Below are 12,523 nucleotides of genomic sequence, written 5' to 3'. Positions count from 1 at the left end.
TAAAATAAGAAACATACAAATAGGCCAGTTAGTATAGAAAAGCTTGGAATGATGCTTAGACATCTCTCACTGGAAAAGACCCCAGGGACATACAGATTCAGAGTTAAGTTTTAACTGAACTTGGTTAAATTTGTTGACCTTCAGCAAATCCTGATTTTATTTAAAATGGTCAAGGCCTAGTTGAGGGAAGGGGAAAGAAGTGATTTTCTTCAATTACTTTTACGGTATAATTTCTGTGAAAGGAAAATAAAACTCAGGACCACAAAATCACTAAACCAAAGGGTAAAGTCAAGCTGGAAACTATGTCAGGCAAACCTGCCTCCCATTCTATTCCTAAATAAGATAGCTGCCAAGATAAGAGGCTACGTACCTCCCTTAAAATTTGCCCACAAGGAAATTCCTTGTGGATAAAGGACAGACAGAACTCAAAGTTATCCCTTTAAGGTGCGCCTGAGACAAATGCATATCTAATTGCTTCCCCTCCCCTATTGTTTACGTAAAAATGATAATTCACTGAGCCAGACTAAATTGTGTATTCAGTGGAAGGCTGATCAAGGACTCAAAAAAATGCGATCTTTTGCCTCTTATCTACTCATGACCTGGAAGCCCTCACCTCAAGTCCCGCTTTACCTGACTAAAGTACATCTTACACATACTGATTGATGTCTCATGTCTCCCTAACATGTATAAAAGCAAGCTGTACCCTGACCACCAAGGGCACATGGTCATCAGGGCCTTCTGAGGCTGTGTCACGGGTGCAACCTTAATCTTGGTGAAATAAACTTTCTAAATTGATGGATGCCGGATGTGGTGGCTCATGCCTGTAATCCCAGCACTTTGGGAAGCTGAGACGGACAGATCAACTGAGGTCAGGAATTCGAGACAAGCCTGGCCAACATGGTGAAACTCTGTCTCTACCAAAGATACGAAAATTAGCTGGTTGTATTGGCACACACCTATAATTCCAGCTGCTCAGGAGGCTGAGGCAAGAGGATCGCTTGCCTGGGAGGCGAAGGTTGCAGTGAGCCGAGATCATGCCACTGCACTCCTCCAGCCTGGGTGACAGAGCAAGATGCCATCTCAAAAAAGAAAAAAAAAAATTGATGGAGAGTTAACTTTTGGTTTACAATGTAAATGTTTATTTAAAAACAGACATTATTTTATGTACCATTACAAATATACTGCTACCCAGCTGCTCGGGAGGCTGAGGCAGGAGAATGCTTGAACTCGGGAGGCGGAGGTTGCAGTGAGCCGAGATCGCACCATTGCTCTCCAGCCTGGGCGACAGAGCGAGACTCCATCTCAAATAAAACAAAAACAAACAAATATACTGCCAACTAAACTGTGATTTTGTCAAAAATAAATGTTGTTGATGACTTTACTTCCATTAAAGCCACTGTAGTAGCCAAGGGAAAGCTTCCTTTTTGTCCTCTGAAGGTTCACTGAAAAGTCAACTGACAAAAGGCACATTAATTGGAGAAAGGGCATACAAATTTATTAACATGCACATGGGGGAGAACCAGAGTGATTTTGCTGAAGCCCCAAATGGGGTTCAGAAACTTATATACCATCTTGAGGTTACAGAATGGGGGTTTGGATTGTGGCATAACAGGTTATGCGGGTGGAGACCTGGCTGACAACCACGGTCTTGTTATGTAAATGAAACCTCCTAAGTAGAACTCCTTAAAGAGAACAGGTGGTACATGTTTCTTTCAGACCTTTGCAAACCAACAGTAAAATTCTAAACCCTCCAACCGACTGATGGACCCTCTGCTTGCCCAAGGGCATTCTGAAGTTAACCTGAAAAACTAGTTCAGGCAATGATGGGAAGTGGGGGTTGGCCATGCCTCATTATACACTCCTCCCTTGGAATTCAGGTACAGCAAGCCAGCACTAACATTAAAACAGAGACCTTAAGACTGACAGAAAAGACTCTTCTGCAGAGGCTTCTTCATTACTCTCAGGCACACAGGATTCTTGGTTTCCGCTGTAGGGTCCTCACTTTACCTGTTCAACCTTCATTTGTCTTTCACTGCCTACTCTTGGTTAGCACTCGGCCAGCGCACAGGTTTCCCACACCCTGAGGTGGACACCAGCAGGGAAGGTTTGCGGGAGGGCTCTGCCTCCCTGGCGGCCACCCGCAGGCCCACAGCAAGACATGTGCAGAGGTGAGCGGAGCGCCGTCACCAGCTGCCACTCTCCCAAAGACCAGAACCATCCCAGAGCACCCGGAGGCACCAGGAAAGCGGCTCGGAGGCAGAGGCGCCAGGGGCGGGGCTGATGCCGAGAGGTTTCCTCTGCCCCGTTCCCTCGCATTGGTCCTGCAACCGCTCCCGTCAGACGCGTTTCCGCCTCCTGTCCTCCGGAAAGGTGCCCGCCTCTTGCCTTCCGGCCCGGCGCCCGATTTCCGCCTTCCGACCCAGCTGTGGGCTGCGCCCCACGCCAGCCCGCGCCCCGCATGGCTGCCGCCGGGGCCAGGCCTGTGGAGCTGGGCTTCGCCGAGTCGGCGCCGGCGTGGCGACTGCGCAGCGAGCAGTTCCCCAGCAAGGTGGGCGGGCGGCCGGCATGGCTGGGCGCGGCCGGGCTGCCGGGGCCCCAGGCCCTGGCCTGCGAGCTGTGCGGCCGCCCGCTCTCCTTCCTGCTGCAGGTGTATGCGCCGCTGCCTGGCCGCCCGGACGCCTTCCACCGCTGCATCTTCCTCTTCTGCTGCCGCGAGCAGCCGTGCTGTGCCGGCCTGCGAGGTGAGCCGCCAAACGGGGTCGGGACGGGGCCATGCCTCCGACGCGTGCGCGGCGTTAATTCCGGGAGCGACCAGGGGGACGGCGGCAAGCACCGCTGCCGCCCCAGCCTCAGAGCTCCCTCTCCGCGCTGCCCCAGGAGCACCTTCTCCCGGGCCCTTCCAGGATGTGCTCATTTTTGCTACATAAGCTTCTAACTGTGCCCACGCGCATTGGTAACCCCCAGCTTTTAATCAGTGGGTACCAGGTATGGTGTTAATTCAGATAATAGAAATTGTCTTGGAAAGATGGATCCCAGTAGCTTTTTCGTATTTTTGGCAGTCGTTCTTAACGATCAGTCTTATTAATTTGATTAACTCAAACCACCTCTAGGAGGCAACTCAGTTGCGTGTACCGGACGAAATCTAGTTTCTGGATTTTAAAAGCTTATTCCTGAAAGCAAAAACTTTCATTTCTTTTTTGTTGTTGTTATTTTCAGTTTTACGTGCAGAGGATAAAATATGTGAATTGCTGTTTTGTTTGAAGATAAAACTTTTCTCTGTATTCTTTTTTAGTTTTTAGGAATCAACTACCCAGGAAAAACGATTTTTACTCATATGAGCCACCTTCTGAGAATCCTCCCCCAGAAACAGGAGAATCAGTGTGTCTCCAGCTTAAGTCTGGTGCTCATCTCTGCAGGGTTTGTGGCTGTTTAGGCCCCAAAACGTGCTCCAGATGCCACAAAGCATATTACTGCAGCAAGGAGCATCAGACCCTAGACTGGAGATTGGGACATAAGCAGGCTTGTGCACAACCAGGTGGGTAATCTTTTTTTTAAGTCTCAGTTCAGTTTCATCGCCTTTGTCAACCCAGATATTTCCAGGACAACTTTAAAGGTAAAATTAGGAAAGGTATAGTACTTTAAAATTTTTCATGCCTGGAACACCTTTGTAAAAAAAAAAAAAAGGCTGTGAAGTCTGAATCACTGAATAATGTCACCATATAGGCATTTAATTTATGACCCTTTATCTAAAATGCCAGAACTATAGGGAATATAGTACTTTAGAGACAGCAAATTATTAGACTGTCTTCAAAACTAAATGATTACTAATAGTGCTGTCCTTTTTGTTTCAGATCATCTGGACCATATAATTCCAGACCACAACTTCCTTTTTCCAGAATTTGAAATTGTAATAGAAACAGAAGATGAGATTATGCCTGAGGTTGTGGAAAAGGAAGATTACTCAGAGATTATAGGGAGCATGGGTAAGCAGTTTCAGGACTTCATTCATTAAGTGGTTAAACATAATACTTGGAAGAAAGGGCTCCATGTGCCTAGAAGAGAGGTACTGAGAGGAAGACTCACTTTGGAGGCTGTAGCATACAATTTTCAGATATTGCCTCAGGTAAAAATATACTTCCTGGACTTTGTTTTCTGACACATAAGAGGTGTGTTCTGCTCCCTGTAAAGACAAGGGTGGGTATCCAGATGGTCCCATGAGTAGGGCTGCACAAGATGCTGGAGGCTTGGTAAGTTCCTCTGGGTCGCAGATCGGTTTCTCGGGTCGGGATAGTGTGAGTGCCTAGCACAGTGTCGGGCACGCAGAAGGGCCCCTTAAAAGTTTCTCTTTCATCTGGCCAGTTTTAGATACACAATTTTGTCAGTTTACTTACAGTGCATACTCTTGGGTAGTACTTGTGCTGACCAAGTATCTTAGAGGCTTATTTTATTATAGTAGCCAACATTTATCCAGCACTTACCTTATATAAAGGGCTGTTTGTGCATGAGCTCATTAAAATCGTGACAGCAGACCAATGAGTGAGAAACTGCCCCATTTTGAAGGTGAGGAAATTGAGGTTCTGGGTATAACTTTCTTTGGTCACATAATATTAAATTTTACAATTTGAGCCTTGAGCCATACACAAAACCACCACAAAATTAGATTTATAGACTCAAAATGAAAACATCAGCTTACTGGTTTGTAGTTCATACCAGTCATACATTCCAAAACATGTTTTGAGTCTTACTCTGTGCCTGACCTTGTGCTTGATAACAGGGATATAATGGGAAGCAACACTCCAGTGGTCAGATGCTCACAGTCTTATGGAGGAGCCCAAATAATATCTGGGGAAGTTAAAGTCCATATAATGACTGATAAGAGTACAATACAGGTGCCATGGGAACACGTGACATCACTGAAGACTGCCTGGAAGGGGCCGCGCGTGTGTTCATGCCTATACGATAAACATGATACATAATGAAAATGCTTATCTTTAGGAGAAAGGAGAGCCTAGAGTAGCAGGATCAAGGATGAAAGCTGGACTTCAAATATGCCTTGTTAGTGTAAATGTGACTGTGGAACTGTATGAGTATTTTAAGATTATGGAGTAAAGTAAGTTTTAAAAAGCAGTCCCTAATCATCAAAAGTAAAAAACTCTTGATGTAGTCATATAACCACACTAAGAACTCTTCCAGGTGACTTCAAAACATAGGACAGTACATCTCTAGTAGAATATGCCCTGAGAATGAAAAGAATGTAACAGTGTTAGTATTTTGAATAAACATGTTATTACTAGACTGTTGCTTTTATTTTGAGATGGTTGTGTGTGTATTGGGGGGAAAGGAAACGAGTAATTATGTTGGTGTTACTGAGAACTGAGATGTTGGGCGTAGGAGGAAGATAATGTTGATTGTGTCTACGTACCATTTCTCTCTAAAAGGAACTCCAGGCTCTTTGGAGAGGTGGTTGATTCCAGAACTAGGTCAGGAAACGTTCATATAATGTGGGAACATGGTCATATCAAAGATTAAGGATAAGGATTACTAGGGCCATGTCAGAACTCAAGCAACATGAAAAGGCTCCTGCTTGCAAAAGATGGACAGTTTGAACATCCACAAGGACGCTAACTGCATCAGATATGTTTAATGGGTTCAAAATGATACTTTAAAAAAACTCAGTAATCATCTTTATAGGATACTTGGGAACAGACTCATTTTCAAATTGGTAAATAAAAGGAAAGAGTTTGCCTTCGAGGGGTACATAACTTAATTATGAATGAAGTGATATGTGTGGAATTTACTTCAGAGTAATGGAGGTGGAAGTGGCAGAGAAAGGAAACACTGGACTTGATAGTGTTGAAACTGATTAATGATATGTGGCGGTTCATTATAGTATTTCCACTTTTCTGTATGTCCAAAATTTTCTAAAATAAAAGGAGAATTGAATAGAAAAATGCTTCCTGGAGGTAGCTGTGTCTTACCTGAGACTTGGCAGGAGGCAGTAGGGCCTGAGGGAACAGCATTTACAGTGTCCTAACGGTTATACTGAAACTTTCCACGTATACTTGATGGAACATCAATCTGAAGGCATCCTACACTTCCTCCATCAGACCTGATGGTGCAAGTGAACACCATCAGTGCCTTTCCAGTTTCATCAAAGCAGTTATTTTAGCTTCTCTGACCCAAGGTATATCAGTTCTATTTTAACGTACATTACAAAGACTAATGGTTATACTTAGAGACACGGGTCTGTTGGGGACAGCAGTGGCTTAGGGTGGCTGTAATCCCAGGAAGGAATGTGGAGAAGGAAATGAACATTTTTTTTTTTGAGACGGAGTCTCACTCTGTCGCCCAGGCTGGAGTGCAATGTCACCATCTCGGTTCACTGCAGCCTCTGCCTCCCAGGTTCAAGTGACTCTCCTGCCTCAGCCTCCCGAGTAGCTGGGATTACAGGCACCTACCACCACGTCTGGCTAATTTTTATATTTTTAGTAGATACGGGATTTCACCATGTTGGCCAGGCTGGTCTTGAACTCCTGACCTCAGGTGATCTGCCCGCCTCGGCCTCCCAAAGTACTGGGATTACAGGCGTGAGCCACTGCTCCAGGCCAGAAATGAACACTTGATGACTGAGTGAGTGAGCCTACCAGCTGAGGATACTAATGATAAGGGCTCACATTTGTTGGGTGTCCTGTGATGTGCTGGGCAGTCCTAAGCCCTTGACCATTCTGTTATTTTGAAGCTTTAAGGAGATGCACTAAATGGAAGTCCATATAATAGAGTTGGATGGAGTACCTGGAAATTCAGATGGTCCAACTTGAATGAGTGAATAAATAGGGAAAGCTATCTGATTAAAAGTGGGTCCCCTCTCCATGTGTGAATTGTCAAGTTGTGGGGATTACTCCTGTTTTTCATAATAGTTACGTTGATTTTTCAGGTGAAGCACTTGAGGAAGAACTGGATTCCATGGCAAAACATGAATCCAGGGAAGATAAAATTTTTCAGAAGTTTAAAACTCAGATAGCCCTTGAACCAGAACAGGTAAAGTGGAGCTCATAGCTCCTCATCGTGTTCTCTTCAGGCCATGTTTTATGAGTATAATCTGTAAGAAATAACTTCATAGTAACATTAGTCTGTTCCTTAGGAGCCTATAAAAGCAGGCTTTTGTTATCTTGTTAGAGGAGTTCCTCACACAGATGGGCCATGTAGAAAGGTGTTTTGCAGTGCTGATCCATTTAATAGTTACTAAAAGACTAAAGGTTATACTGTTTATCATACAGGGTTCATTTTCTAAAGCAAGCATCAGGGATGGGAGATGAATGAGATGTTGCCTAAGGTACATGAGGTTTAGGCACCATTGGCCCCCCCGCCAGAAAGAAAAAAGGTTATTTTTGCCCATTTCCAACAGGTAACTTTGGCTTGTAAAATGTGACATGTTAACATTTTTCTCCTTAACCTCCCCTACCATAAACGTAAATCACGAAAGAAAACTAAACTCCCATAAACCAGTCACTGGTTCAAATAAATACACAGGAAGAATAGATCTAGGTCTTAAACACTAAGGCAGTTTTTAGCAATGCATATGCTTTTAGACAAAATACAGAAAACCACTCAGTTGCTGTAGGAAGCTTATTACAGTGAAATTTACTTATGTTTGTAGTAGTTTTCAAAACACTATGTTTCACTTGGTATTTGTCCCTCCTAAAATTTTTTAACTATGAAGGTAGGCACAGACTCTGGGCAGAATTCTGCAATTAGAGCAGAGGCTCATTCTTAGTCCCTTCACAATATATTCATAGGATTAAGTTGCCAACATTAGGTAGTAAAAGCATCATCTGGGAGATATATTTTGATGCCCTCTGAGTCAGATAAACTGAAATAATCACTTTGAGGTGATTGAGAAGGCATTAGTGGCACACTGGTACAGCCAGGTCTGATGGGGGAACTGTGACATGCCTTTTGGGTCAGTGCTACATCAAGAGTAGGAACATTCATGGAGTAGATAGCATGTTACCATTGGCAACTTATAGGTAAGGTATTGATTATTTGAACATGATCTTCATTGATTTTAGATTCTTAGATATGGCAGAGGTATTGCCCCCATCTGGATTTCTGGTGAAAATATTCCTCAAGAAAAGGATATTCCAGATTGCCCCTGTGGTGCCAAGAGAATATTGGAATTCCAGGTATGACCTTAAATAAGGACCATTTAGTGTGTAATCACCATGATTGTTTTTAAACATTAAAAACTTCACCAAGGTAATTTGTGCACATGGGTCAACATGGCAGTATGGAAGGGTACCCTATAATGAAAATCATCAGTTTCCTGCCTCACCTTGGGGCTAGTTCCCTGGAAGGAACTGTCTTGTTTTTTTCTGTTTCCTAGTTTTCAGACACGGTCTATTGACTGACTTCTGTGACAATGAGGATATCTACACTGCTCTCCACCTCCAGTGTGGTTATGTCATTATTATTAGTGCCTCTGTTAACTTTTGTTATTTTAAATAATGTATACCTTCCTTTCTTGTTCTAGTAATTAAAGTCTTTGACTATATACTTTATGAGAGGAGTCTTTACTGTTTAATCTTGGTTTGTGGATTTGTTAGAAAAAATGGATATAAGCATTAAAGATAAATGTCCTTCCCTGCCCAAAAGGATTTGTTAGCATCAAAATCCATTTGGGTAGGGTGGAAATGCTCTTGAGCTATGGATTCACTAACCTTACCAAAGTCATAGCTAATATTGGTTTGTTTCTTTGGGTAAAAAAGGAATTATGAGGACCATACACAAAACTCTGCTTGGTTCTTAGTGCCAAAGCTCTCAATGTCCAAATTGAGGTGACAGGATTTGTATAAAGTGATTCCATATCAGGTGGCTATTCTGCCTATTCACTCTTTGAGTTAGACTACTTCTAAGATTCCTCTCTGGTCTCTATAACTACATTGATAGATGTCCTTTCTGTATTCATTACTAGTAATTAGTGTTTCTTGAGTCAAGAGTAACAACATCTGCAATGATACAAAGTAAAAGTTGCCCAAATAGAAGCCTCAGCCCTTTTGAGTGGCATATTAGTAATGAAAATAATTCATTAACAGCCACTTGTGAACTTCTTTCTCAAATGGAAAAGACCAAACAGAAGGTGAGAGGGGCTTTGAAGTCATAAGGAAGTTTTAGATTGTTAAACATGTTAATTGTATAATGTCTATAATCCTGCTTTGTAGTATGAGGATTGAAAGACCAAGATCCCTATAATCATCCTGGCTGAGAAGGTCTCGTGCTCCCTGCTGTGAAGCAGCTTTCTAACTGTGTGTCACCCTCTTCTCAGGTCATGCCTCAGCTCCTAAACTACCTGAAGGCTGACAGACTGGGCAAGAGCATTGACTGGGGCATCCTGGCTGTCTTCACCTGTGCTGAGAGCTGCAGCTTGGGTACTGGCTATACAGAAGAATTTGTGTGGAAGCAGGATGTAACAGATACACCGTAAAGGCATCTTAAAGCCTTGAAAAATGTTAATAATCTTTTATACCTTGCAATTCCATTTCTGGGATTTTATCCTAAGGAAATACTTATACCAAAAATAGAGGTGCAGAGATGTTGACAGATTGCTTACACAGTGTCTACTTATTAGTGAAACAAAAGTGTCCAGTGACAGGGAATTAAATAAATTTTGGTACATCCACAGAGGAAGGCTACACAGTCTTAATTATAACACCTATATTGACAACAGACATACCATTATAGGTGGTATTCATGGTATGATCCTATTCTTGTAAAAATATTTGTATGTATGCACAGAAATCTGCAAAGATGTACACTTAGTGAACTGGTTACCAACGAATGGTGGGACTAACTAAAATGGTCTTTTTACTTATATGTGCATTTCTTTTTATAATAAAAATGGGTTATATGCCTAATGAAGTCAAACCATCTCACTCTGAGCATTTCCCACCCTAGGTTTTTAAAACACAAAAATACTTAGGTAAAACTCCCAACAAACTTGTCTGATCATTAGCTGATTATCACAGGCTCTAGTATGTACTGGAAGCCCAGAATATTTGAGAAATACCAAACCTCAGGTTGGTGAGTATGATGAACAGGAAACCCAGTAATTCTGAAGCAGCAGTATCACAGTTGGCAGGATGAGGAACAACAGTGGCTTTGTGATCACAGAACTGGAATTTAAAGAGGCTGGACCTTCAGAACTGATCTTGGTCAGCCAGCGGCCCTGCTTACAGATGAGACACTGAAAGGCAAAAGGCGATGGTCTTCCCTTTCCGTGTCAGCATTGTATACAGGTTCCCTATCGCACATACAAGGGTTATGGAATGTAAGCCAAAATAAGGGTCTGGCCTAGGAGGCAGCAGCCTGAGGAAAGGAAGGCCCTGAAGTCAGTTTTCAAAGGGCTGACCCTTGGCCTATTATGTTTCTGATACATCTGTTTAAGCAAGCGGCTCCTAAGACTACACTAAGGTTTCTTCCATCCCCTAGCAGCTCACAGTTGACAATTCCCAGTTCTCTCAGCACCAGTGATGCCTGCCCTTAAGACACATTGCTGTTGATCAGTGCTTGAATACTGACGGCTAATTCTGATAAATTTCTCAGGCTTATTTCCTTAATCTACATTGGCTCACATTGTCCCCTAACACATCCCTGTTAACTGAAATGCATTGCCACCATAAATCCTCACGTTTTCATAGGTAACATCACTTGCTAATGTAATTGTCTACTTGGCTATTTTATTTGTAATTTAAAAAGTTCTGTCCTAGTAGTCCATATTATATAAGTATACATATGCAATTTGTATTAATTGTATAAGATAGTTATACATAGCACCATATGGGAAACTGCAGTATGGAGTTTCTCCCATGGGGAGGTTATCAGCTACTTAAGAGCTAGAGGATACTAGTTTCGAACCTGGGATGGCTAAATCTATGAAAATCACCTATAACTATGGTGTCACAGCCCTGTGGCTACTGGAGTAAGTTGTCATCAACTAGTGACAAGAGCTGGTCGCAACACTTAGTAGGAAGCACAGTGGCATAAGGAAACCTGGACTAGTGGGGCCTTTATATCTAAAATTATGTATTATTCCTTATAGGCAGAATCTGTAAGTACGTTATGACTGCTAATGACTTTTAAAGCAAACATGTTAACGATCTTTCTATGGTAAAAACTGTTATTTGGGGACATCACCAGATGATGTGGACATTCTTGCAGGTATTTTGGCATACCCAGGCAAGCTGTCATTGGTGTATATTCCAGTTAACCTCTGGAGATGATCGTAACAGTTTACAGGGCCTTTCCATTTGGGATGGATATATCAAGAGGGAGACAAACTGGTCCAAATCACCAGAAAGAAAATCTCACAGCACCGACTTGGCATCTGTGTTAAAAAATAGCAACTATATTTAAAATAAACTGTACAACATAAAAAATTTAAATTAAAAAATGCATTAAGCAAGTTGCCTTTAGAAATGTGAAGACATTTTAAAACACTACAAGATAATGAGCAAGTCTCACCTACATAATCATGGCTCCACAGACGGTGCCAGTCCATGCATCCACCATTTCTCAACACCTACAAAGTTTTAAGATCTGCTTGGTTCAGATACTGTCCAGCCACAGCAGCTCCCTCTGCTGTAGAGAGCAGCATATTCAGCTTTGCCTTTTTATTTCAGATACTGAATATCCTTTGGCAATTTCAGATATCACAGCAAAAAAAAAAAAAGTTCCAAGTGTTTTTGGCAATCATATTGGTGATAGTGTTTTTGTTACTCTTAAGAATGTTATGGTGGAGGTGGGAGGATGGCTTGAGCCTAAGAGTTCAAGAACAGCCTGGGCAACAGTTGAGTGACTTTGTCTCTACAAAAATTAAAAAAAATTAGCTGGGTGTGTTGGTGTGCACCCGTAGTCCTGGCTAGCTACTCCAGAGGCTGAGGTGGATCACTTGAGCCCAGGAGTTTGAGACTGCAGCAAACCATGATTGTGCCACTGCACTCCAGCCTGGGCAACAGAGACCGTGTCTCAAAAAAAATTGCACATATAACAGATAAAGTAATGATAAAGTAAATACGTAAAGTAAATGAGTAATTATGGGACATTCTAATTCCTCATCCCCTATGTCTTTAAGAATTAAAAATTCTCAGTGTAGAAGGAAGAGTGTAATACAGAATTGGTTAAATAAAAACCCTATAAGCTTTGAATTTGAATTGGATATACAATTGGTAAAATAACCCTATGAGCTTTGAATTGGACATATTAATATGAACTCATTTTATCTTGAAAACTTAAAAGGGGAAAGTATTCTGCTATATGGAGCACAACACTTTATAAAAGTATTCAAATTAATAAATGAAAAAGAAATGAAATGACTAAAATGTCATTTTGCAACCCACTAATGAATTAATAGATCTAGGAATTACACAGCAGCTTCCAATTTGCAGGAAATACAGAGAATAGGGAAACTACACCATGAATTTCCAACTAGCAAACCCCAGACTATGAGAAGCTCTACACACTAAATGGC

At 42.1% G+C, this 12,523-nt stretch overlaps 1 protein-coding gene across 8 annotated transcripts, besides 1 other annotated feature; it reads left to right on the top strand.

Moving 5' to 3' along the window:
- Positions 2,403 to 11,745, top strand: PDCD2 (programmed cell death 2). Of its 8 annotated transcripts, NM_001199462.2 has the most exons (7): positions 2,403 to 2,548; positions 2,648 to 2,741; positions 3,293 to 3,535; positions 3,852 to 3,983; positions 6,935 to 7,038; positions 8,070 to 8,183; positions 9,323 to 11,745. In NM_001199462.2, the coding sequence occupies exons 1-7, from the start codon at positions 2,459 to 2,461 to the stop codon at positions 9,479 to 9,481; spliced, it is 936 nt and encodes a 311-aa protein (NP_001186391.1). In that variant the 5' UTR covers positions 2,403 to 2,458; the 3' UTR covers positions 9,482 to 11,745. The 8 variants fall into 8 exon arrangements, with proteins under 8 accessions (NP_001186391.1, NP_002589.2, NP_001350584.1 ...); NM_002598.4 differs by having other exon boundaries at positions 2,403 to 2,741; NM_001363655.2 differs by lacking the exon at positions 9,323 to 11,745 and adding an exon at positions 8,384 to 8,558 and having other exon boundaries at positions 2,403 to 2,741.
- Positions 2,434 to 2,673: a silencer, noted in NCBI's record as "silent region_17802". NCBI's record gives its function as "represses an Ori minimal core promoter by ATAC-STARR-seq in GM12878 lymphoblastoid cells {active_cell/tissue: GM12878}" and the evidence as "EXISTENCE:reporter gene assay evidence [ECO:0000049][PMID:35858748]".

Source organism: Homo sapiens, chromosome 6 (assembly GCF_000001405.40).
Source record: "Homo sapiens chromosome 6, GRCh38.p14 Primary Assembly".
In the NCBI taxonomy this organism is placed as follows: domain Eukaryota; kingdom Metazoa; phylum Chordata; class Mammalia; order Primates; family Hominidae; genus Homo; species Homo sapiens.
The sequence above is the reverse complement of the archived record's forward strand: the minus strand, read 5'-3'. Positions and strand labels throughout refer to the sequence as shown.